The sequence below is a fragment of the Homo sapiens genome, chromosome 2 (genome assembly GCF_000001405.40).
Source record: "Homo sapiens chromosome 2, GRCh38.p14 Primary Assembly".
In the NCBI taxonomy this organism is placed as follows: Eukaryota; Metazoa; Chordata; class Mammalia; order Primates; family Hominidae; genus Homo; species Homo sapiens.
The window spans coordinates 27,563,896-27,590,569 of NC_000002.12; the positions used below are offsets into that span (position 1 = coordinate 27,563,896).

At 42.3% G+C, this 26,674-nt stretch overlaps 2 protein-coding genes across 7 annotated transcripts in view, besides 2 other annotated features; both read left to right on the forward strand.

Moving 5' to 3' along the window:
- SPATA31H1 (SPATA31 subfamily H member 1) overlaps positions 1-18,827 on the forward strand; it is a 45,337-nt gene extending 26,510 nt beyond the window's left edge. Inside the window, exons 2-5 of the mRNA NM_032266.5 lie at positions 1,442-1,520; positions 2,149-2,203; positions 2,394-2,489; positions 2,840-18,827. Of these exons, the coding sequence (NP_115642.4) occupies positions 1,442-1,520; positions 2,149-2,203; positions 2,394-2,489; positions 2,840-18,632 (16,023 nt within the window). The 3' untranslated portion in view covers positions 18,633-18,827. The remainder of the gene's footprint in view (positions 1-1,441; positions 1,521-2,148; positions 2,204-2,393; positions 2,490-2,839) is intronic.
- Positions 2,004-3,203: an enhancer, noted in NCBI's record as "CDK7 strongly-dependent group 2 enhancer chr2:27788766-27789965 (GRCh37/hg19 assembly coordinates)". NCBI's record gives its function as "activates an origin of replication core promoter dependent on BRD2, BRD4, P300/CBP, MED14 and CDK7 cofactors, with strong dependence on CDK7, by STARR-seq in HCT116 cells {active_cell/tissue: HCT116}" and the evidence as "EXISTENCE:reporter gene assay evidence [ECO:0000049][PMID:35650434]".
- Positions 18,945-19,394: an enhancer, noted in NCBI's record as "active region_15508". NCBI's record gives its function as "activates an Ori minimal core promoter by ATAC-STARR-seq in GM12878 lymphoblastoid cells {active_cell/tissue: GM12878}" and the evidence as "EXISTENCE:reporter gene assay evidence [ECO:0000049][PMID:35858748]".
- Positions 19,147-26,674, forward strand: part of ZNF512 (zinc finger protein 512) — a 40,176-nt gene continuing 32,648 nt past the window's right edge. For 2 of the 6 annotated variants that reach the window (NM_032434.4, NM_001271286.2), the window contains exons 1-2: positions 19,147-19,247; positions 19,763-19,821. In NM_032434.4, coding sequence (NP_115810.2) covers positions 19,218-19,247; positions 19,763-19,821 — 89 coding nt within the window. In that variant the 5' untranslated portion in view covers positions 19,147-19,217. Of the gene's footprint in view, positions 19,248-19,530; positions 19,632-19,762; positions 19,822-26,674 lie in introns of all 6 variants that reach the window. The other 4 variants (NM_001271287.2, NM_001271288.2, NM_001271318.2 and 1 more) reach the window with 3 other exon arrangements.

Genomic DNA, 26,674 nt, shown 5'->3' on the forward strand with positions numbered 1-26,674 from the left:
TTGTAGAGACAGGGTCTCACTATGTTGTCCAGGCTGGTCTCAAACTCCTGAGCACAAGTGATCCTCCTGCCTAGCCTCCCAAAGTGCTGGGATTACAGGCATGAGCCACTGCATCTGACCACTTCTACTCCTTTTTAATTTCCAAGGAGATTTACATTTACTTTCATCTTTTGCCCTAAAGCATTACCAGCTCAGGTTCACTCCACTTTGATTTTCAATTTGAGGGTTCCTGGCTACACAGTGGGTATAAATTAGAACTCCAAGCCAGTATGAGGATAGACTCATGGTTAAAATTCTCAGAGAAGGTGTTTTTTGTTTTTTCCCACCTAGAGTACAAATTTTCTTGTGGTGGGCAGATTTTTTCCTAGCCACTTTTCCAGTAAACATGTAGCACTTTTGAGAATTCTGGCTTTTTCCCAGGGTCTCCATTCCAAATACACACTTCACATGGGCCTTGTCTTTTGCTCCTACCTTGTTGTTAACCCAAATCCCTTCTGACTGACACTACAAATGATATGGGGCGTTGAAGTATCAGATGATTTTCTACTCATGTTTTTCAATTTTCTCCTTAATTTTGGCCTGTAAGGATTTCCCTTACTCTTTTTCGAGGAACTTAATTTGGCATTTAAAAGGATGCTGGGCTGGGTGCAGTGGCTCACACCTGTAATCCTAGCACTTTGGGAGGCCGAGGTGGGCGGATCACCTCAGGTCAGGGGTTTGAGACCAGCCTGGCCAATGTGGCAAAACCCCGTCTCTACTAAAAATACAAGAATTAGTTGGGCATGGTGGCTTAGCTACTCAGGAGGCTGAGGAAGGAGAATCGCTTGAACCCAGGAGGCAGAGGTTGCAGTGAGCCGAGATGGCACCACTGCACTCCAGCCTGGGCGACAGAGTGAGACTCCATCTCAAAAAAAAAAAATTGTTTTATTTGAAATTGTAACAAATGTCATTACTGCCTTTAAAATGACCTGGAGCACTTTGAAAAAAATCCCAGAAGTTTTCCAACTACAGAATAAAATTAAAATTCTACCATTAGGCATAACCTGGCTTCCATCTACCTTGTCAGCCTAGCATCTCCCACTACTTAGCAAAAGTGCACCTGACAATCATGACATGCTGATCTCGGTGATGTTCCCACTTGCCTGAAATACTCTTTCTTCACCTAAAAGTCTTGTGCTGATTCTTTAAACTCCAGTACAAATGCAACTTCTTGAATAATTCTCTTCCCTTCTCTCTTAGGAAGTTAATCACCGTCCTCTATATTCCCTGATATTTATATGTTTGTTACGGCATTTACATGTGGTTATGGATGCCAACTGTATCAATATCTGATACATGAGATGTATCAATATCTGATATCTAAAAGGTGAGAAGTGCTGTCAATAAAGTCTCTAACCTAGAACATAATCTGATTTTCTTTTTTCTTTTTGTGCTTCTCTAGACTTCAAAGCAGCATAGATTGAAAAAGATCCAGAAATTAACAGGTCAGAGAGATCCTATCCTTTACTCTTCAGCTCAAGGTTAATAACAGACCAATTGTGGGTCAGCCTTATGACTCTAGCCTTAAATAGCAGGTGGAGGGAGGTTGAAAAAGAGGATGTAAATGGAAGAAGTGTGCCTCTTCTTTCTAGCATCTCCATGTCTAAAGATATGTATGTATACGGCTCCATAATTCTTTCCATGGTTCCTTTCCTTATACTTCCTTTCCTCAGCTCCTTTTGTGCAAAGCCCAAGGTATTGGGAAGGAAACTTGGTGAGATTTAGAATGGACAAAGGGTAACTACCAAGAGTTTGGTGAGGGAAGTTTCCCTATCTTTTCCCCCCCACCACAGATACTGGATAGACTCCTTTGGAGAAAAAGATATGTATCATGACCTCTGTTTCCCCTACTCTCACTGCTTATTACTATGATTATTCCTATTCTTCCCAAAGTATATAGCTTACATCTACTGTATGATGAAGGCAGCATAGTATGGCTTTTTGAAAAATCTTGAGATGGGTTAAGTCTGAGATCTACCACTAATTAGCTTTATGATCTTGGGTATAACTTCATCTTTGTTTCCTTATTTGCAAAAAGAGGGGGTTGGACAAAATGATCATGATCATCAATAGTCATGAGGCTGACAGATTCTTCACCTCTTCTCCCAGATCCACAGTGGGAAGAAAACCTCAGGATGGCTTGCACTGAAGCTAACCTGACATGGTGAGTAAAGCCTGTCTTCAGCCTATTCTACTGATAAATTCTGTGAAAGTTAGACGTAAAGTACCTGGACTCTGTTTTACTTCCTTCACTGTGATAGCTTTCTCCTTTCTAAGTTAAATCTCTCTTATTGTTTTCCTTACTGGTACTTTAATGAAACTTCAATTACATTGACATACACTGTTGCATCCAGTGTTTCAGAACTCCCTGTGGGCTGGACCCAGGAATATATACTCTGGTCAATGGAGCGGAGCCTTCAACAGATCTTCCGATACCTAGAAAGCGCAAGGTCAGGCAATGTAGTTTCTGGGTGGGGATTGAAGGTGGTAGAGGTTTTAAAAAGAAGAAAGGAAGGGAATGAAGGAGGGAGGGAGAGAGGGAGAAGAGAGAGTTTGTTTTGTCTGTGGGGGTAGTTCTGGGTTCAAACTGGTGGAAGGATCATTTCTGGGTGGAATGGGAACAGTTTCCTCCCTTTGTCCTGGTGGAGAAATTATTTCTATAAGTAATTGATGTTGGGGAAAGAAACTTTTTTTTTTTTTCAAATTCTCCTTCAGGCCAAAAATATTTTGCATTTGAAATGGCCACTTTTTTCGTTTTCCTATTTCAATGCAAACTGAAACATTTCTCTTTATTTCTTAGATCAAGGCTTGTGGAACAGGATTTGCCTGAATCACAGGATATGATTTCTTCCTCTACCACCTCTGTTCTTGTGGCTCAGAAGACTGTTCTATGCTGTTGTGACTATAAGAAAGCAAAACATTCTACTGACCACAGCATCTCCTTTAGTTCATCATGCAATGACTCCAGTCTGTCTCATCTTCCTGTCTTTTCTGAAGGAACAACTTGGGAATTCCGGAGCCATAGTTTACCTATTTCCCACAAAAAGCAATCCTCTGTGTTCAGGAACCAAGGCAGAACCCTGCCTCTTTTTCAGCTCTCAGAGCCCCAGAAATCAAAAATTTTTCAGAATTTGGCAGATCTTTCACCCTTACAACCTCAGAGCTCTTTTATCAACTCTATTTCTGAACCCCTAAATATCTGCAAACAAAAAAGGAAAAAAAATGATGAGAGAATGAGCAAGAGTCATTTGACATCAGATCATGAGCCAAATTCTGTTTCCAAGGAGAGACCACGACTTCCAAGGTGGGCTACATTCAAGCTCTCTCCTTCAGTTAGAAGGGAGCTAGAAGGACATATGTCTCAGAAGGTTTTTGCTTTGCGGCAACAAACAGCACCTTTACCTTTGAGGAAATCATGGGCAATGCTGAATTATATAACTGAAGTACAAGGAGGAGTTGCTGAATCAGAGAAACCCCAAACTCAGTTATCTATGCCCATTCATCAAAACACTGAGCAAAATATCAACAACAAATCCTCAGACCTTCCATCATTTCAGCTCCATGTGAATGCTGGAGTGGGATCTGGATCAAATAGCACAGAAACAAAACTTTCACAGTCACTTATCTCAGATAAGCAGTTACAACCTGGGGATGGCCCTCAAATCCTTGGATTCAAGCCTTTAGTTACATCAATGGGCAGTCTACCTCCAAGAAGTTTAGAACTTAATGTAATTCAAGAGGAAACTCCTTTACTGAAGAATGATCCAAAACATGTGCTAGAGCTTAGTATAGAGGAGAGGGTCATAGGTTTTCCAGAAAAAAGGATACAGCAGCACAAGACACAAGTGACTAATGTGGAGTTGACCCCAAGGCTATCATATCAAGTCAAAGATAGCCTAAAGGTAACTCCATTGGCACTACTTCGGGTCATGGATTCAATGGGGATGATCCCAGAATCACATTCAGAATTTGCGGGTTTGTTCTCACAGCTGCCAAGTCAAGTTGTGAAACCAATGGAAACCATGGAAACAGTGAGCATAACCCCCAAACCACCAAATCAAGTCATTCAATCAATGGAGGCAGCCCCAAGGTCTCAGCACCAAGTTATGGAATCAGAGAGGGTGGCCACAAGATTACTGAATCAAGTCACAGATAATAAGAAAGTAACTCCTGTAGCACTGCTTCAAGTTATGGATTCTATGGGGATGATTAACAAATCACATCCATGTATAGAATCAGTGGGAATGACTCCAACACCACGATATCAAGTCATAGAGTCAGTGAAAATGAACACATTGTTGAACCATCAAGACACAAAACCAGAAAAGATGAATCTAAGGCCACAACATGCAGTTACGGAAACTGTGGAAATGATGCCAGGGCCACAGCATAAAGTCATGGAATCTGCGGGCATGACCTCAGGGTCACAAAGTCAAGTCATGGAACAAGGAAAGGCTACTCCAGGGCTAATATGTCAAGACACAAAATCACTGGAAATGATCTCAGCACCATTACATCAAGTCATGGGTTATGTGAAAGGAATTCCAGTGGCACTATTACAAGCCATGGATTTCAGGGAGATAATTCCACCAGCACAGCCACATGTTATAGAATCTGGGGGCTTGACCCCAAGTTCACAGTTGCAAGGTAGGAGATCTGTTCATCTGGTCCTACCACCAGAGTTTCAAGATATAAACACTGTGGAGCTGACCCTAAGACCACCAACGGAAGATACAAAATCTGCGGAGTTGGCCCCAAAGCCATGGTTACACGATGTCAGATCTGAGAAGGTAGCCCCAGTACTATTGCTTGAAGATGTGAAAACTCCTCAAATGGTAGAATGTAGGAGGTCAATTCCTGAGACACAGGTGCAAGGTATGAAATATGGGGAACTGAACAAAGGGACACAATTTAAGGAAGTAAAAGCTGCAGAGATGAGCCCCAAACAAAATCATGAAGCCACAGAGCCTGAAAGATTGACCCCATGGCATCAAGCCTCAGAATCTTTAGAGATGATCTCCGGACCAGGATATCAAGGAAAAGAAGCAAAGTTGACCTCTGACAACTGTCACCAAGTGGAAAAATCTATTGGGTTGACACAACCATCTTTAGGAACTAGCCCAGGGCCACTGAGCCAAACTTCAGAATCTGTGGAGATGAGCTCAGTGTCATTCCAAGACATTCTCAAGACAATGCACCAACTTGGAAAAGCAATGGGGGAAACTCCAGTATCACAACACACAACAAAAGAATCTCTGGATTTGATACCAGGATCAGAAATGCAAAGTGTGAAATCAGAGGGGGTGACCACAGAGCCACAGCCCCATGATATGAAGTTTGTTTACTGCAATCTAGGGCCATGTTCAGAAGTTACTGAGTTGTCAGAGATACCCCCCATGTCAGAATATAAAGAAACTGTGGGGTTGGCATTGCCTCAAGTTGCTAAGACCCAGGGGGTCATCCCAGTACCACCACATTCAGAAACAGGATTTTTGGAGTTGACTCTAGGACCAGGCACTCAATATGAGAAATCAGAGCCACTACTGCAAAATTTGAAATCTATGGAGTTAACCAGTGAGTCATCTCCATTATTGATAGGATCTAAAAAGTTAATTACAGAACAAAAACCACATGTTATGGACCTGACCCCAGGGCCACAGCTCCAGGGAGAAAAGTCTAAGCAGCTGGGTCTAGAGTCACAGTTGCAAGATATGAAACACATGAATTTAATCCAACAGTCAACTACAGGAGTGGTAGAATCTGAGGAGATGATGCCAGAGCTACCGCTACAAAGTATGCCATTGGAGGATTTGACTAAGAGGGAAGAGCTCCAACGTGTAAAATCTGTGGATTTAAATCTAGGCCCATCTCAGCCAAGTGTCAAATCTTCTGAATTGACCTCAGGGCCACAGTTGCCAAGTGTCAGATTTTCAAAGATATTTCCAGGACCACTTCTTCAAGGCGAAAAACCTGTAGAATTAATCTCACAACCCCCACATTATGGTGTGAAATCTGATGAATTGACCTCAGATTCCCCAGTTCAGGACATCAAATTGTCAGATTTTATCCCAGAGCCAACACATCAAAGTGTCAAATTTGTACAGCTGACTCCAGAATCACAACCTCAAGATGTGAAATTTGTGGAACTAAGCCCAGGACTATTCTTGCAAGATGTCAAATTTTCTGATTTGATCCCAGAGCCAAAGCATCAAGGTTTCAAACATATGCAGTTGACACCAGGAGCTCAGCTCGAAGATATAAAGTCTCTAGATTTTGTACCAGAGTCATCTTTGCAGTCAAGCCAAGGGACACATATTGAAGATATGAAATCTGTTCTGTCTACTGAAGGATCACAGTTTCACAGCATGAAATCTGCGAAATTGACCTCAGAACTACCATTTCAAAGTGTAAAATCTGAGGAAGTAAACCTAGGGCCATGGCAGCAAGATATCAAATTTTCTGAATTGACTTCAAGGCCAAAGCTGCAAGGTGTCAATTCTGCGGATCAAACTCCAGGATCAATGTTTCATAGTGTGAATTTTGTAGAGGTGGTTCCAAAGTTAGGGCTGCAAGATTCCAAATTAGCAAAGATATTTCCAGGAACTCAAAGTATGAAACAGGTAGGGCTTAACCCAGAGCTGCAGCTACAAGATGTCAAATGTTTTGATTTAGTACCAGGAACTCAACCTCAAGGTGTGAAATCTTTAGAGTTAAACTCAGGGCCACAGCTACAATGTGTAAAAGTTTTAGAGATGACCCCAGGGCCAAAGATGCAAGGGGTACCACCTGTGACAATGGCTCCAGGGCCAGAGGGGGAAGGGGTTAAGCCTGAGTTGTTAGTACCAGAGCCACTGTTTCAAGGTGTAAAATATGTAGCAGGCAACCAAGAACCAAGCCTTGAAGCTGAAGTTTCCTATAAATTAGTCTCAGAGCCACAAATGCCAGATGCAGAATCCATGGAGTTGACTCCTGGGCCACAGTTGCCCAGTGTAAATCATTCTGAGTTGACCAGACAACCACAGTTACAAGGTATTAAATCTTCTGAATTGATACAAAGACCACAGTTACAAAACGTAAATCCTGTGGAGTGGAGCCCAGTCTTGAAACTTAAAGGTTTCAGATCTGAAAAGCTAACCTCAGAGCCACAGCTAGAAGATATGACATCTGCGGAATTAATCTCAGGGCCACATTTGGGAGATGTGAAAACTATGCAGTTAACACCAGAGCCAGAATTGGAAGATGTCAAATCTATGACGTTAACCCCAGAGCCACAGGCAGGAGGTGTAAAACTTGAGGAGGTAACCCCGGGCTCAAAGCTTCAATCTGAGTTGCTGACTTCAGGATCACACTTGGAAGATATGAAATCTGTGACCTTAACTCCAGGACCATGCCTGGAAAGCATAAAATCTATGGAGATAACCTTCCCACAGCCGGAAGGTGGGAAATCTGTGGCGATAACCTTAGGGTCACAGACAGAAGATGTCAAATCTGTGGAATTCACCCCTGATTCTGAGCTTCAAGGTGTAAAATCTGTGGAGTTGACTCCATGTTCAAGAATTCAAGATTTAAAAACTGAGGAGTTGGTCCTAGGTACACAGCTGCAAGATATGAAAACTGCTAAATTAAAACTTGGGCTAAAGATGCAAGGTGAGTCTATGGCTTTTGCACCAGGGCCATTGCTTCAAGGGGTTAAATCTATGGAGACGCTTCAAAGGCCTCAGCTACAAAGTGTGAAACCTGAAGAACTGACCTCAGTCCCACAAATGCAAGATATGAAATTTGTGGAGATTACTCCATGTTTAAAGCTTCGAAGTTTAAAATCTATAAAGGAGACTCAAGATCCACATCTGCAATGTGTAAAACCTGTAAAGTTGACCCCATGGCAAAAGAGGCAGGCAGTAAAATTTGTGAATATAACCAGAGGAGAAGAGTTTGAAGAAGTAAAATCTGTGGATTTAGCCCTAAAGCAACAGTTTCAAGGGATGGCACCTGTGGATTTAACCCTTGAGCCTGAACAGGATGGTCAGATATCTGTAAACTCACAAGAGCAGCAATGTGTGAATTTTGAGCAAGTAAAGAAAGGGTCTGAGTCAGAAGGTGTAATGTCTTTGGAGTTAATTCCAGAGCCAAAATCTGAAGGTATAAAATCGGTAGACCTCAAGTCTGACCTACAGTCGAAAGGTATAAAATCATCTGAATTGACTCCAGAATCAAATATGCAAGATGTAAAAGCTAAAGAGTTCAAACATGAACCACAGTTGCAAAGTATGAAATCTCCCAAGTTGACCCCAGGACCACAGTTGCACCAAGTGAAACCCTTGGGCTCGACTGTAGAGCCACAGATTCAAAGTGTGAAAATTGTGGAGTTAAACAAAGAGCTAGAGCTTGGAAGAATGAAATCTGTTCAGTGGATAACAAGACCTGAGTTCCAAGGTCTAAAATCTGTAGGGTTAAATCTTGGGTCACAATCTCGAAGTGTCAAACCTGCAGAATTGAAACTTTCCATACAGTTGGGAGATATGATAGCATCTAAATTGGTTCTAGAGCCAAAACTTCAAGGTGCAAAACCTATGGAGTTTAACCGTGGGCCACAGTTGCAGTGTGTAAAAACCTCTGAGTTGTCTTCAGGACCACAGCTGCAAAAAGGGAAAATGCTAGCATCCACCTCAGAGCCACAACTTCAAGGTGTGAAAACTGTGGAGTTAAACCAAGACTCACAGCTTACAAGTGTGAAATCTGTGCAGTGGATACCAGGACCTGAGTTCCAAGGTGTAAAAACTATAGGGTTAAATCTTGGTTCACAATCTCAAGGTGTCAAACCTGGAGAGTCGAAATCTTCCATAGAGTCAGGAGGTGTAAAGTCATCTCAACTGACTCTAGGGCCAAAACTTCAAAGTGTAACATCTATGGAGTTTAACCTTGGGTCACAGTTGCACTTTGTGAAAGCTCCTGAGTTGTCCCAAGGACCACAGCTGCAAAAAGGGAAAATTCCAGCATCGACCTCAGAGCCATATTTTCAAGGTGTGAAAACTGTAGAGCTAAACCAAGACTCACAGCTTGGAAATGCGAAATCTGTGCAGTGGATATCAGGACCTGAGTTCCAAGGTGTAAAAACTGTAGGGTTGAATCTTGGTTCACAATCTCGAGGTGTCAAGCCTGCAGAGTTGAAATCCTCCACAGAGTCGGGAGGTGTAAAATCATCTGAATTGACTCTAGGGCCAAAACTTCAAGGTGCAAAACCTGTGGAGTTTAACTTTGGGCCACAGTTGCAATGTGTGAAAACTCCTAAGATGTCCCGAGGACCACAGTTGCAGAAAGGGAAAATTCTGGCGTCAACCTCAGAGCCACAGCTTCAAGGTGTAAAAGATGTGGAGTCAAACAAAGACTCACAGCTTGGAAGTGTGAACTCTGTGCAGTGGATACCAGGACCTGAGTTCCAAGGTGTGAAATCTGTGCTAAAATGTGGTTCACAATCTCGAGTTGTCACAACTGTAGAATTGAAACCTTCAGTACAATTAAGAAATGTGAAGTCATCTGAGTTGACTCCAAGGCCAAAGCTCCAAAGTATACAACCTTTGACATCACTCCAGGAACATCAGTTGCCAGGGCTCAAACCTATTGCTTTGAAATCTGGGCTACAGTTGAGAACTGTGAAATCATGTGGCCCAATTTCAACATCAAAGCTCTGTGATATAAAATCTATGGCATTCAAACCTGGGCTTCACTCGCAAGATGTGAAATCTTCTGAGTTGACCCCAAGACCACAGCTGCACAAAGTGAAACCCTTGGAGGCATGCCCAGGAACACAGCTGCAAGATGTGAAGTCTCCAGCGTTTACACAAGTGCCACAGTTTTCAGGGGTGAAATCTGGAGTATTAAGCCAAGAGCTACCATTACAAAGTGATAAAACTGTAGCGCTGAACTCCTTACTACACTTGAAAAGCAAGAAATCATCTGAATTGGCTCATCAGACAGAACTTCCAGGTATGAAATCTGAGGAGTTCAACTCTGGGCCACAATGGCAATGTGTCAAATCTTCTAAGTTGAACCCTAAGACAAAGTCCCAAGACATGAAGTTTAGAGAGTTAAACCCCAGTTCACAATTGAAAGATATCCCATATTATGATTTGACCACAAGGACCAAGATTCAAGGTGTCAAATCTACAGACTTCAAACCTGGGCCACAGTTGCAAGGAGTGAAATCTTCTGAGTCGATACCGAAGACAAAGCTTCAAGAAGTGAAATTAATGGAATGCAACTCAGGCCCACGGTTGCAAGATTTGAAATCTTCTAGGTTGATCATTGGTATAAAGTGTCAAGACATTAAATCTATGGATTTCAGTTCTGGACCACACTTACAGACTGTGAAATCTTCTGAAGTGATTCCAGGGGGAAAGCTTCAGGGTGTGAAATCGGTAGAATTCAAACCTAGTCCAAAGTTACAAAGTGAGAAATCTGATTTGACCCTGGGGAGGAAGTTTCCAGGTGTGAAATCTGTAGAGCTGGAATCAGGCCCACAGTTACAAGATATAAAATCTTCTGATCTGATCATGGGTATAAAGCTTCAAGATGTAAAATCTATGAAGTTCAGTTCTGGACAACACTTTCAAGGTATAAAATCTTCTGAGGTAACCTCAGGGACAAGGCTTCAAAGTATGAAATCAATGGATTTCAATTCTGGACAACAGACACAAAGCGAAAAATCTTCTGAGTTGATTCAGGGAACAAACCATCAAGATGTTAAATCTGTAGAATTCCACCATGGTCTAAAGTTACAAGGTGTGACATCTTCTGAGTTAACACCAGAGACAAAGCTTCAAGGTGGGGAATCTGTGGAGTTCAACTCGGGCCCACAGTGGCAAGATACAAAATATTCTAACTCAATAATGGGGACAGAGCTTCAAGATGTAAAATCTATGGAGTTCAGTTCTGGATCACACTTGCAAGGTATGAAATCTTCTGAAGTGATCCCAGCGACAAAGCTTCAAAAAGTGAAATCTGTGCTCATGCCTAGGCCAATGCGGCAAGATGTGAAATCTTCTGAATTGACTGTAGGTACAAAGGTACAGGATAGGACATCTTTGGAGTTAAGCTCAACTTCACAGTTACAAGATAGAAAATTATCTATGTTGACACCAGGGATACACCTTCAGGGTGTGAAATCTGTAGAATATAATCCTGGGGCAAAGTTGGAAGATATGAAATCTGGGTTGATAAAGCTTCAGACGGTGAACTCTACAGAAGGCAACCATGACCCAGAATTGCAGGTTGCAAAACTCTCTAAGTTGGCCTTGGAATCAAAGATTCATAGTGTGGCACCTTCTGAGTTCAATGCTGAAAAGCAGCAGCAAGATGAGAAATCTCATAAATTGAATCCATGGCCAGACCTTCAAAGTGTAAAATTTATGGTGTTCAATCCTGAGCCACATCTGCAACATAGAAAATCTTCAGAATTATGCACAGGGACAAAGCTTCAAGATGTAAAATCTATGAAATTCAATCTTCAGCAACAGTTGCAAGGTGTGAAATCTTCTGAGTTGTGCCTAGGAACAAGGCTTCAAGGTATACAATCTTTAGATTTCAACCCTGGACCACAGTTGCAAGGAACAAAATCTGCCAAGTTGAATCCTGGGCCTGAGCTTCAAGGTATAAAATCTAAGGTGTTCTGCCTTGGACCACATTTGCAAGATGTGAATTCTTCTGTATCCATTCCAGAGCCACCACATCAGTGTGTAAATTCTACTGGGAGCAACTGTGGGCTACCTTTGCAAGGTGTAAATTCTGCATCCATTCCAGCACCTAAACTTCAGTGTATAAGTTCTAATGGGTGCATCCCTGGGCCACATTTGCAAGGTGTGAATTCTGCATTCATTCCACAGCCAAAAGCTCACTGTGTAAATTCTATTGGGTGCAACCCAGGGCCGTATTTACAAGGTATGAAATCGCCTGAATTAACTCCAGTTTCAAAACTTCAAGGTATGAAGTGTTCTGAATTGAACCCAGGGACAGAAATTCAAAGTGAGACACCTATGATGTTCAACCCTATACCACATTTGCAAGGTTTAAAATCTGAATTGACTCCAGGGTCAAAGCTTCTACGTGCAGCACCTATGGAATGCAACCCTGGGCCACAGGTGCAGTATGTGAATTCTTCTGAGTTGAATCCAGGGCTAAAATTGCAATGTATAGATTCTATGGAGTGCAAACTTGCGCCACACTTGCAAGGTGTAGAATCAGGGACAAAATTTCAAGTTATGAAATTTTCTGAGTTGCATCCAGGGCCAGAGCTTCAAGGTATAAAATCTGTTGTGTTCAACTCTGTGCAACATTTACAAGATGTAAAATGTGAACTGACTCCAGGGACAAAATTTCAAGATATAACACCAAAGGAGTTCAACTCTGGCCCGCAGCTGCAAGGTATGAATTCTGAGGAGTTCCATTCACACCTCAGGCAGCATAATGTGAGATCTGTGGTATTTGTACCAGAGCCATGTTCTCAAGATGTGAAATCTGTGAAGTCAACTCTATGGCCACAACCTCAAAGTGTAAATTCTTCAGGGTTGACATCATGCTTTGGGTCACAATGCGTTAAATCTGTGGCCTTTGCATCGAAGCCATGCTTTCAAGATGTAAAACCTATGGAGCTGACACCAGGGGCCCAACAGCAAGGTATAAATTATCAAGAGTTGACTTCAGGATGGCAAGATGTGAAATCAATGATGTTGGTACCAGAGCCAACTAGGAAGTTCCCATCAGGACCACTGTTGACTAGTGTCAGATTTTCAAATTTGTCTCCAGAATCACAGCAACAGGATGTGAAATCTTTGGAGTTTACTGTAGAGCCAAAGTTGCAAAGCGTAAAACATGTGAAATTATCTTCAGTGTCTCTGCAGCAAACTATAAAATCTGTGGAATTAGCACCAGGGTCACTGCCTCAAAGAGTGAAATATGGGGAGCAAACTCCAAGAACAAATTATCAAATCATGGAATCCTCTGAACTAATCCCTAGACCAGGGCATCAGTTTGCAAAATATGCAGAGATGATCCCACAGCCAAAGTATCAAATCCCTAAATCTGCAAATTTGATTTCAATACCAATTTATCACGCCACAGAATCTTCAGAAATGGCACAAGGATTGGCATATAAAGGCATAGATACTGTAGAGAAATCTGTGGGGTTGACCCCAAAGCTAACAGGTAGAGCTAAGGAATCCTTAGGGATGCTGCTGCAGCCAGATCTTCAGGTACCAAAATTTGTTGATCTGACTCCAATGGTAAGGGATCAAGGCTCAAAATTCTTAGGATTAACTCCAGAGAAAAGCTACCAAATCCTAGAAACTATGGAATTGCTCTCTCAGTCACGGCCCCGAGTTAAGGATGTGGGGGAGTTATATATGAAGCCACTGCAGCAAACTGTGGAATATGAAGGGATTACTCCGGAACTCAAGCATTACTTTACAGAAGCTATGGGGTTGACCGCTGAGGCAAGGATACAAGCAAATGAATTCTTTGGAATGACCCCAAAGCCAACAAGTCAAGCCACTGGATTTGCAGAGAGATCCCCAAGGCTCTGTCCTCAAAACTTAGAATGTGTGGAGGTGATCTCTGAGAAAAGACTGCAAGGGGAAGAATCTGTGGTATTGATTCCAAAGTCATTACATCACGTCCCAGATTCTGCTTCAGGGATGACACCTGGGTTAGGACATCGAGTTCCTGAATCTGTGGAGTTGACTTCTAAGTCAGGAGTGCAGGTAGAGAAAACTTTGCAATTAACCCCCAAACCACAGCATCATGTGGGATCTCCAGGGATAATATCAGGGTTAGGACATCAAGTCCCAGAATCTGTAAATCTGACCTGTAAGCAATGGCTACAAATGGAGGAATCTTTAGAGGTGCCCCTGAAGCAAACAAGTCAAGTTATAGGACATGAAGAATCTGTAGAGCTCACCTCTGAGGCACGGCAGCACAGGGAGGTATCAATGGGGCTAACAAAGTCAAAGAATCAAAGTATGAAATCTCCAGGGACAACCCCAGGACCACTGGGTCGAATTGTAGAATTTATGAGGATTAGTCCAGAGCCACTAGATCAAGTCACAGAATCTGCAAGGACACAGCTTCAAGTTGCTCAATCTGAAGAGGTAATCCTCATAGATGTCCCAAAAGTTGTTCAATCTGTGAAAGTGACCCCTGGACCACCATTTCAAATTGTAAAGTCTGTGACGATACCAAGGCCAACCCCTCAAATGGTAGAATATATTGAGTTGACTCCAAAACTGCAATATGTGAGACCTTCAGAGCACCACACAGGGCCATGTTTGCAAGATGTGAAATCTACAAAATTAATCACAAAGCCAAAACACCAGATTTTGGAAACAGTGGAGTTGACAGGGTTTCAAATTGTAAAAACTATGTTAATCCCAGGGCCATCCCTTCAAATCGTAAAATCTGAGGAGTTAGCACCAGGACCAATTCCTCAGGTTGTAGAACCAATAGGAGTAGCCCTAGAATCAGGAATTGAAGCAATAAATTGTGTGGATTTACTTCCAAGGCCACATCTTCAAGAACTGATAGTACCTGCAGAATTAACTCCAAGTCCATGTACTCAAGTGAAGTCTGCAGAATTAACCTCACCGCAAACATCTCCATTTGAGGAACATACAATATTGACTCATAAACAAGGGCTTCAGGCTGTGAAATCTACAGTGATAAAAACAGAGCCTCCTAAAGTTATGGAAACTGAGGATTTGAATCTAGGACACGTGTGTCAGAATAGGGACTGTCAGAAGTTAACATCAGAAGAGTTACAAGTAGGGACTGACTTCTCTAGGTTCCTACAAAGCTCTTCAACCACACTCATTTCAAGCTCTGTCAGAACAGCATCTGAATTAGGAGGACTTTGGGATTCTGGGATACAGGAAGTATCCAGAGCTTTGGATATAAAAAACCCTGGGACAGATATTTTGCAGCCTGAAGAGACCTATATAGACCCTACTATGATACAATCTTTAACTTTTCCTTTGGCCCTTCATAATCAAAGCTCCGATAAGACAGCTAACATTGTGGAAAACCCATGTCCTGAGATTCTAGGAGTGGATGTAATATCTAAAGAGACAACTAAGAGGAAGCAAATGGAGGAGCTAGAGAACTCACTTCAGAGACATCTACCACAAAGCTGGAGATCACGATCTAGGACATTCCAGGCAGAATCAGGGGTTCAGAAAGGTCTCATCAAGTCTTTCCCGGGCAGACAACACAATGTCTGGGAGAGTCATGCCTGGAGGCAGCGACTACCAAGAAAATATCTCTCCACTATGCTAATGCTGGGGAATATTTTAGGGACCACTATGGAAAGGAAGCTTTGTTCTCAAACATCTTTAGCAGAAAGAGCCACTGCAGATACCTGTCAATCTATTCAGAATTTATTTGGGATTCCAGCTGAACTGATGGAACCTTCCCAGAGCCTGCCAGAGAAGGGTCCAGTTACTATTTCTCAGCCTTCTGTGGTCAAAAACTATATTCAGAGACATACTTTTTATCATGGTCATAAGAAAAGAATGGCCTTAAGGATATGGACACGTGGCTCCACATCTTCCATAATACAGCAATACTCTGGGACTAGAGTGAGAATAAAGAAGACAAACTCAACGTTCAATGGTATATCCCAAGAAGTCATTCAACATATGCCTGTCTCATGTGCAGGGGGCCAGCTTCCTGTCCTGGTAAAGTCAGAGTCTTCCCTCAGCATATTTTACGATAGAGAAGATCTTGTTCCAATGGAAGAAAGTGAGGACTCACAGAGTGATTCCCAGACAAGGATTTCTGAGTCCCAACACTCCCTCAAGCCAAATTATCTTTCCCAGGCCAAGACTGACTTCTCAGAACAGTTCCAGTTGCTAGAAGATCTGCAGCTAAAAATAGCAGCAAAACTCTTAAGGAGTCAAATACCCCCCGATGTGCCTCCACCTCTAGCTTCAGGTCTAGTCCTAAAATACCCTATCTGCCTACAGTGTGGCCGATGTTCAGGACTTAATTGCCATCATAAATTACAGACCACTTCGGGGCCTTATCTTCTTATCTATCCACAGCTCCACCTTGTACGCACTCCTGAAGGCCATGGTGAGGTTCGGTTGCATCTTGGCTTTAGGCTGAGAATTGGGAAAAGATCCCAAATCTCAAAGTATCGTGAAAGAGATAGACCCGTCATACGGAGAAGCCCTATATCACCATCACAAAGGAAAGCTAAAATCTATACTCAAGCTTCCAAGAGTCCTACTTCCACAATAGATTTGCAGTCTGGGCCTTCCCAGTCCCCTGCTCCTGTACAAGTCTACATCAGGCGAGGACAACGCAGCAGGCCTGACTTAGTAGAAAAGACAAAAACTAGAGCACCTGGGCACTATGAATTCACTCAAGTTCACAACCTACCAGAGAGTGACTCTGAAAGCACTCAGAATGAAAAACGGGCTAAAGTGAGAACCAAAAAGACCTCTGATTCAAAATATCCAATGAAGAGAATCACCAAGCGACTTAGAAAACACAGAAAGTTCTACACAAACAGTAGAACCACAATAGAGAGTCCTTCTAGGGAATTAGCAGCCCATTTAAGAAGGAAGAGGATTGGAGCAACTCAGACAAGTACTGCCTCTTTAAAAAGACAACCTAAGAAACCTTCCCAACCCAAGTTCATGCAACTGCTTTTTCAGAGCCTAAAGCGGGCATTCCAAACAGCACACAGAGTTATAGCTTCTGTTGGGCGGAAGCCTGTGGACGGGACAAGGCCAGACAATTTGTGGGCAAGCAAAAACTATTATCCAAAACAAAATGCCAGGGACTATTGCTTACCAAGCAGTATCAAAAGAGACAAGAGGTCAGCTGACAAGCTAACGCCAGCAGGCTCAACCATTAAGCAGGAGGACATATTGTGGGGAGGAACGGTCCAGTGCAGATCAGCTCAACAGCCAAGAAGAGCTTACTCTTTCCAACCCAGACCTCTTCGACTGCCCAAGCCCACAGATTCCCAAAGTGGTATTGCTTTCCAAACTGCCTCAGTGGGGCAGCCTCTGAGAACTGTTCAAAAGGACAGTAGTAGCAGATCAAAGAAAAACTTCTATAGAAATGAAACCTCCAGCCAGGAGTCTAAGAACTTGTCCACACCAGGAACCAGAGTTCAGGCCCGAGGAAGAATCCTACCTGGTTCCCCTGTGAAGAGAACCTGGCACCGACATCTTAAAGACAAACTCACACACAAGGAGCATAACCACCCCAGCTTCTATAGGGAGAGAACCCCACGCGGTCCTTCTGAGAGAACCCGTCATAACCCCTCTTGGAGAAACCATCGCAGTCCCTCTGAGAGAAGCCAACGCAGTTCCTTGGAGAGAAGACATCACAGTCCCTCTCAGAGGAGCCACTGCAGTCCCTCTAGGAAAAACCATTCCAGTCCTTCTGAGAGAAGCTGGCGCAGTCCGTCTCAGAGAAATCACTGCAGTCCCCCCGAGAGGAGCTGTCACAGTCTCTCTGAAAGGGGCCTTCACAGTCCCTCTCAGAGGAGCCATCGCGGTCCCTCTCAGAGAAGACATCACAGTCCCTCAGAGAGAAGCCATCGCAGTCCCTCAGAGAGAAGCCATCGCAGTTCCTCTGAGAGAAGACATCGCAGTCCCTCCCAGAGGAGCCATCGCGGTCCCTCAGAGAGAAGCCATTGCAGTCCCTCTGAGAGAAGACATCGCAGTCCCTCTCAGAGGAGCCATCGTGGTCCCTCTGAGAGAAGACATCACAGTCCCTCTAAGAGAAGCCATCGCAGTCCCGCTCGGAGGAGCCATCGCAGTCCCTCAGAGAGAAGCCATCACAGTCCCTCTGAGAGAAGCCATCACAGTCCCTCTGAGAGAAGACATCACAGTCCCTCTGAGAGAAGCCATTGCAGTCCCTCTGAGAGAAGCCATTGCAGTCCCTCTGAGAGAAGACATCGCAGTCCCTCTGAGAGAAGACATCACAGTCCCTCAGAGAAAAGCCATCACAGTCCCTCTGAGAGAAGCCATCACAGTCCCTCTGAGAGAAGACGTCACAGTCCCTTGGAGAGGAGCCGTCACAGTCTCTTGGAGAGGAGCCATCGCAGTCCCTCTGAGAGGAGATCTCACAGGTCCTTTGAGAGGAGCCATCGTAGGATTTCTGAGAGAAGTCACAGTCCCTCAGAGAAGAGCCACCTCAGTCCCTTGGAAAGAAGCCGTTGCAGTCCCTCTGAGAGGAGAGGACACAGTTCCTCTGGGAAAACCTGTCACAGTCCCTCTGAGAGAAGCCATCGCAGTCCCTCCGGGATGAGGCAAGGGAGGACCTCTGAGAGGAGCCATCGCAGTTCCTGTGAGAGAACCCGTCACAGTCCCTCTGAGATGAGGCCAGGGAGGCCCTCTGGGAGGAACCATTGCAGTCCCTCTGAGAGGAGCCGACGCAGTCCCCTTAAGGAGGGACTCAAGTACAGTTTCCCTGGAGAGAGGCCCAGCCATAGTTTGTCTAGAGATTTCAAGAATCAAACAACTCTCCTCGGGACCACACATAAAAATCCCAAAGCAGGGCAAGTGTGGAGGCCTGAAGCTACTCGATGAGGCGAGGTCCGCCCCTATTATTCATTGTCCTAAGTCTTCATCGTGCTGCCCTTTCCAGGCTTCTTTCCTGCTCAGCCACTGCCTCCAATTCCTGCGCCCCCAGCGTGGAAAGGCTTCCATTTCTCTCTACCGGGGGGGAGGCGGGTGAGAATGGGTCTGTAATTTCTCTAAGATGAATAAAGGGGCAGTAAATGATCTTCCTGTGCATCTGGACTGAGACCACTGGGCGGGTGGATGGGGAAGGCAGGCTGGAGGGACACGAGGAGTTGTGCAAAGATTCGGAATGAGAGCCAGGGGTTTTGAGGCCCAGCCGAGGCTCCAAGCTCCGCCCCTTCACTCCAGACCCCACCCATAGGTTCCCGGGTCCCGCGTCGCGATCCCAGTGGGGCGGGGTCTCAGAGGAATCGGAGGGTGACTCATCACGTGACTCGCTCCGGCCGCAGCCCCCTCGGAAGCTGCTAGGCGGAAGTAGAAGTTCAGAAGAGGGCTAGGCGGAGCCGAGCCCACATCCGGGAGAGGAGAGCGGAAGTGGCGTTGGTCTGGCCGGAGCCCTTGGGTGAAATTGTTAGGCGTGGAGAGGGAGTGATGTCTTCCAGACTCGGTGCTGTACCCGCCGTGAGTTTCTTGGTTTGACCGTTATGCTTTAGAGGTAGCGCTGTCGAGCCCGGAACACGCGGTCCCTCGCTTTTGTCCCATGCTGAGTTGGTTTTATCAGAGGCCATCGTAGGCCCCACCCTTCTAGATCAGATCACCTGTCCCTTTTTCTTTACCCACGTTCTGCTGCCTGTTCCCCACCTCCTTGGATTTAATTCCTCGCCACATTACCATTAGTTTCTATTCCTTTTACATCCCCAATGTCTCTCATATCCGTTGTCTTTTCTTTTGGCCTCCCTTTTAGAGCCTGGGACAGGGCTTTGAGAATGGGGGAAGACGAAGGCTCTGGTATTGTTACCCGCCTTTGCACTGCTGGAAGATAGGACAGCATATTTTTCCTAAAAGGTGTTGCCTTCTTGTGTTTGAGGTGGTTTCCCCGGGAGAACTTCATTTCTTCTGGGCATAGGGGAATTCGTCTTTTTGTGGTCGAGGTTCAGAGGTCCCTAGCACTCACTCGTGTGCTTGTGATTTGCTAGACTTCGGGACCCACAACCTTTAAGCAGCAGAGGAGCACGAGGATCGTGGGAGCTAAGAAGTAAGTGAGGTTTTCTAAGGTCCTTTTATGATTGTGTCACCAGCGCTGACCAGTAGAACTTCTTCCTGTGATGAAAATGTTCTGTATCTGCATTGTCCAGTATCATAGCCACTAACCCGGTGTGGATTTTGAGCAGTTGAAATGTGGCTAGTGCAACTGAGGGACTGAATTTTAAATTTTATTTGCCAAGTGAGTGAGGTTTTTCTAAGGTTCTTTTGTGATTTTGTGGCCAGCGCTGTCCAGTGGAACTTCTTGTGACGAAAATGTTCTGTATCTGCACTGTCTAGTATCATAGCTACTAGCCCCGTACGCCTTTTGAGCGCTTGAAATGTGGCTAGTGCGACTGAGGGATTGAATTTTAAATTTTATTTAATTTTAACTAACGTTAAATAGCCACCTGTAGCTCGTGGCTATCGGATTGGACAGTGTAGGTCTAAGTCTAGTGTGTGGGAGAAAAACCTAGCTTGCAAAAAAAAAGTACAAATTGTAATAAAAATGGAACCAAAGACTCAGTGGTAATTCTGTATTTCTCCAGACATGAAATTCGTGCTCATAAATACACTGATGAACTTGGGATGGATGATAAAAATGGCCGTAAGAAATCCTTGTATTTTTAAACTACTTGTCTGTAAGACTGGTTTATTATTTAGTACACTGAAGGTGCTTAGTTTTTCCATGGTTAATACAAAAGAAAACATTCTTGTTAACTAGACATTAAATGGATTCATTCATTCAGGTGACATTTACTACATGTTTGCTGTGCGCCAGTTCTGTAGTAGGTTAGGAATACAGGCATGAAAAACAACTAGCAGTCTAGAAGGGGAGATAGGCAAGTAGGTCAACACAGTTCATTGTAATAAGTAAGTATTTTTAAGTAGGAATTTAATTTAGCCTTTGAGGAAGGGGAGTGATAGTTTGGAAGGGAAGGATTATCAGAGCAGGTCACTCCTAAGTAGAAACTTGAAAGTTGAGGAATCATGCAGTTAGTGAGAAGGAGAAAGGTTTTTCAGAACAGAGAACAGCATGTGAACGTGTGGAAAGAGTTAATGGGATAGTAAGTAGTTCTGTATGTCTGGGATAGAGGATGAGGGATTGCAGGGAGAGCGTTTAGAGAGGTTAGTAGGGGCTAGACCATGGAGGACCTGTTACGGCATGCTAAAGTGTTTGGATTTTATCCTGGAAGAGATAATGAGGGAATGACATAGCCAGATATTGGTCTTAGGCCACTCTGGCAGCATTATGAAGGATGGATTTGGAAGGGTACTGGGAAACTGGTTCAGAGGTTATTATGATAACCTAAGAGATGAATAAAGAACATGTAGCCTATGGTGGGAACAATATACAGGGAATACGTAGGGAACAACGTATAGGGAATGTACAGGTGGTGATGATGAGAAGTGAGTAAGAGAAGGAAGATAGGATGTCTATGGGTTTCTGGCTTTGGCCATCAGGTGAATTTTGGAGTAATTCACAGAACTACAAATTTCTGAATGAGGAGCAACATTTGGAACAAAAACAAATAGGTTTGGACCTCAGATGAAGAGCTGGTCTGAAATACAGAATTGGGAATTATCAGCTATAAAAAATAATTGGAAACATGATGTTTTCTTCCACAAGCTGAGAGTTTTAATGAGCTCTTCTAGTTAAAGTGGTTAGAGCAATGTTTCTCAGTATGTACCTTGGTCACCTAGAGATAATTGTTAAAAAATAAGATTATTAGGCCCCCATCCATTAACCAGATTTGGAATCATTGGGTTTAGGGCATAGAAATCTTTACTTTTAACTAGCTTCCTAGGAGATTGTGACATTTGAGAGTCAATGGTGAGAAGTGAGACCAGAGAAGAGTAGAGGAGGAAATCATGGAGAACACTAGCTTTTAAAGATTGGGTAGAATTAAATAAGTTTACAAAGGATACCGAGATGAACTAAAGTACTTTTCTAATGAAATCTAAATATTTGCACATGGAAGAATGAGCTAGGGGCTCTTAAAAATTTTTGGTAGATCAGAAAGGAGTTGAAAATAGGCTAAACTTTTTATGTTTGTGATCAGAAGCTGAGAGTTGCCACACTGGTGGCAACAAATTATAAAATAAATGCAATTATGATAGTCATTGTATCACAACAAAGCTTTTTCTTGTTATATGTATGGAAAGGGAAGTTTGAGCTTAATCTGGTTTTTTTTACAAATAATCAAATGTCCTGGGGTTGATGGGTAGATATTGTAAAATACTTGAGAATTGTTTTTGTTGAGTGCTTTAAAAATAAAACATGAGACCTGGAGGAGGGATTCCCTAACCACCTTGATTTAATCTCCAAGAGTTAATTATGATCATATGAACTGTTGCCTTTTCAGTATGCTTATGCTTATTCATAAGAGGGTATATGGGTACTGTATTTCTGAGTCCTACACTGATAGTAAGAAATTCCTACATGGAGAGTTTCCTAAGAGTTATTACATGGGACTCAGCTCTTAATGGCCTGTTGGTACCATCAAGTCTTTGTTGTTGTTGTTGTTGTTGTTGTTGTTGTTGGAGATGGAGTCTTGCTCTGTCGCCTAGGCTGGAGTGCAGTGGCATGATCTCGGCTCACCACAACCTCCACCTCCTGGGTTCAAGCAATTCTCCTGCCTCAGCCTCCCGAGTAGCTGGGATTACAGGTGCACACCGCTGTGCCCTGCTAAGTTTTTGTATTTTAGTAGAGAAGGGGTTTCACAGTGTTGCCCAGGCTGGTCTTGAACTCCTGAGCTCAGGCAGTTCGCCCATCTTGGCCTTCCAAAGTGCTAGGATTACAGGCATGAGCCACTGCGCCTGTCCCATCAAGTGTTTCTAGCATTGTTTGGGATGGTAGGTTTTGGCCTTAGAGGCCTGCCAGTCCATTAATTTTTAAAAATACCTTTATTGAGGTATAATTAGAGTACAATAGACTGCACATATTTAAAGCGTACACTATGGTCAGCTTTGACGTATGTCTGTACCCGTGAAACCATTGCCACAATCAAGATAATAAACATTTTCATCTCTCTCAAAAGTTTGTTCATGTCTCTGCCATTTCTTCCTCCACTCCTGTCCACGGGCACCACTGTACAGTGGTTTGCATATTCTAGGATTTTATATAAATGAAGTCACACAGTATGTTCTCATTTTTTTCATGATTTCTTTCACTCAGAATAATGATTTTGAGATGACAAATAGTTTTTATTGCTGGGTAGAATTCCATTATGGATACCATAATTTGTTTAGCCATCTATCTTGATTGACATTTGAGTTATTTTCAGTTTTAGGGTGTCAAACAATAAGGCTGCTGTGAACGTTCATGTACAAGTCTTGTGTGGACAAATGCTTTCATTTCTTTTGATAAATATCTAAGATGGTATTTACCATCCTAGGTTGGTTGATTCATATGGCAGGAGTATGTTTAGCTTTTTAGGAAACTACCTGCTTTCCAAAGTGGTATTATTTTGCATTCCTACCAGCAATGTATGAGTCAGTCTTTTCAATTTTAGCTAATTTAATGGGTGTGTAGTGGTATCTCACTGTGGTTTTAATTCATGGGTTTTTTTTTTTTTTTTTTCTTTTTTTGAGACAGTGTCTCCCTCTGTCACCCAGGCTGGAGTGCAGTGGCCTGATCCTGGCTCACCGAACCCTTTGCCTCCCAGGTTTAACTGATTCTTCTGCCTTAGCCTCCTGAGTAGCTGGGATTACCGGTGTGCATCACCACGCCTGACTAATTTTGGTATTTTTAGTAGAGATGGGATTTCACCATGTTGGCCAGGCTGGTCTCGAACTCCTGACCTTAAGTGTTCTGCCCACCTTGGCCTCCCAAAGTGCTGGGATTACATGCTTGAGCCACCACACCTGGCCTAATTTGTGGTTTTTAATTCATCATATATGAATAATAATGTTGAGCATCTGTTCGTATTCTTTCTTTTTTTGATCTTTTTTTTTTTGCATCTGTTCATATTCTTTTTTATTTTATTTTTTTTGAGACAGAGTTTCACTCTTGTTGCCCAGGCTGGAGTGCAATGGTGCAATCTCGGCTCACTGCAACCTCCGCCTCCCAGATTCAAGCTATTCTTCTGCTCACCCTCCGGAGTAGCTGGGATTACAGGCATGTGCCGCCACGCCTGGCTAATTTTATATTTTTAGTAGAGACGGGGTTTCTCCATGTTGGTCAGGCTGGTCTCGAACTCCCAACCTCAGGTGATCTGCCCACCTTTGCCTCCCAAAGTGCTGGGATTAACGGTGTGAGCCACCGCGCCCAGCCTTCATCTGTTCCTATTCTTATTGGCCATTTGTGTGTCTACTTTTGTAAAATGTTTACATTTTTGTCCATTAAAAAAAGTGGGTTATCTTATTGAATTGTGGTATTTAAAAAAATCTGTCCTGAATACAACTCGTTTGTCTGTTATACTTCCTTCCAGTCTGGTTTGTCTTTCATTTTCTTAATGATGTCTTTTGAAGAGCAAAAGGTTTAAATTTATCATTTTTTTCTTACATTTCATGCTTTTATGTATCCTATTTAAGAAACCTTTGCCTCCCTGGAGGTCGTAGCGAGTCAAGGTGGTGCCACTGCACTCCAGCCTGGGCGACAGAGCGAGATTCCGTCTTAAGAAATAATAATAATTAAAAAAAAGAAACTTTTGCCTCCCTAATTGCAGAGATTTTCTGTGGTCTTTTCTCCTAGAAGTTTTATAGGTTTTATATTTAGGTCTGTGACTCATTTAGAGTTAATTTCTGTGAATGTTTTATGGTAAGGGTCAATGTTGACTTTTTTTTCTATTTATATACCCAGTTGTTGGAAAGAGTTTTCTTTCCCTACTGAATTGCCTTGGCATCTTTGTCAAACTTCACTTGGACATGTATATGTGTAGGTCTGTTTCTGGACTCTCCTTATTCTGTTCTACTGATGTTTATTTAGACTCTTGAAATCAGTAAGTCCTCTAACTTTAGTGTTCTTTTTCAAAATTGTTTTGGTTATTCTCAGTTCTTTGCGTTTTTATAAGAAGTATAGAATTGGGTTGCCAATATCTATTAAAAGAAGCTTGCTGAGTATTGATTGGTATTATATTGAATCTATAGATTCCGTTGGGGAAAATTGCTATTTTAACAATATTGAGTTTTCTGATTTATGAACATGCTATATTTTCCCCTTTAAGTCTTCTTAATTACTCTCAGCAATGTGTTGTAGTTTCATTGTTTTTAAAAGTCTGGAACGTCTTTTGTTAGGTTTGTTCCCAGGTATATTATGTTTTACTGATGTAATTGTAAATGGTATTATTTTTATAATGTCATTTTCTAGTTGATTGTTGCTAGTATATAAGTATTCAGTTGACTTTGTATGTTATCCTTGTATCCTGACACTTTATAAATTAATTTATTAGTTCTAGTAATTGTTTTGTAGATTCCTTGGGATTTATTTTGTAAACAATCATATAATCTGCAAGTAGGGACAGTTTTGCTTTTTTCCTTTTGATCTTGTTTTAAACCTATTGCAATGGCATTCAGCAGTGAAACTACATGGGCCTGTAGTTTTCACTGTGGGAAGGATTTCATAAATTCAGTTTATTTAATAGATATAGGGCTACTTAGATTTCCAGTTTCTTCTTGTGTCAGTTTTGGTAAGTAGTATTTTTAAAGAAATTTGTTCATTGTAATTTTTCCATTGATTAGCATAAAGTTATTCAAAGTATATTATTACTTAATGTCTACATAATCTGCGGTAACCCCTTTTTCATTTGTGATATTGGCTATTTGTAGTGTCTTTTTTTGTAGATCAGTCTAAGTCTAGCTACAGGGTTGTCAATTTTGTGATCATTTCAAAGAACCACATTTCCCCTATTGTCTGTTTTCTAGTTCATGGGTTTCTCCTCTTACCTTACCTTTTCTTTGGTTTACTTTGCTTTTCCTTTTAAGGTATCTTAAGATGAAATCTTAAGTCATTGATTTTAGATCGTTTCTAGTATAAGCATTTAAAGCTTTAAGTTTCTAAGTATTGCTTTAGTTGCATCCTACAAATGTTGATATGCATATTTTTGTTGTTTTTCAGTGCAAAATATTTTCAAATTTCATTTGTGATTTCATTTTGGACCTATGAATTATTTAGAAGTAGATTATTTAATTTGCAGATATTTGGATTTTTTGTGTTTTTTGTTTTTAGATATCTTCCTATTATTGACTCCTAAGTTGATACCAATGTGGTCAGAGAATACACTGTGTAATTCTCATCCTTTTAATAAAAGTTAAAGTTGATGGCCCAGCGTAAGATCTAGCTTAATGAATGCATAATGTGCACTTGAAAAGAATATATATCCTGCAGTTGTTAGATGTAGTGTTGTGTAAATGTTAACTAGAGCAAGGTGGCTAATAGTGCAGTTCAGATCATTTATGTCTTTTACTGAATTTTTATCTAGTTCTATCAGTTGCTGAAAGGGGGAGGTCTTAAATTTTCTGCTAAGATTGTGGAATTGTCTATTTTTCCCTTTAATTTTGTCAGTTTTCGCTTTGTGTATTTTGAGGCTCTATTATTAGGCACATACAGTGGGTAATTATGCCTTCCCAATGATTTGACACTTTTGTCATTATGAAGTGTCTCTTTTTATCTCTGGCAGTACTCTTTGTCTTGAAGTCTGTTTTATCTGATATTAAAATAGTCATTCCAGCCTTATGTTTGCTGATTGTATGATACAATTTTTTCATCTGTTTATTTTCAATCTATAGATGTCTTTATATTTTAGAGTGTGCTTCTTGTAGGTAGCATGTAGTAGGGTATCACTTTTTATTTTACTCTGTCATTTGCTGACTTTTAACTGGAGTGTTTAGACTGTAAACATTTAAATTAATTATTGATATGGTTG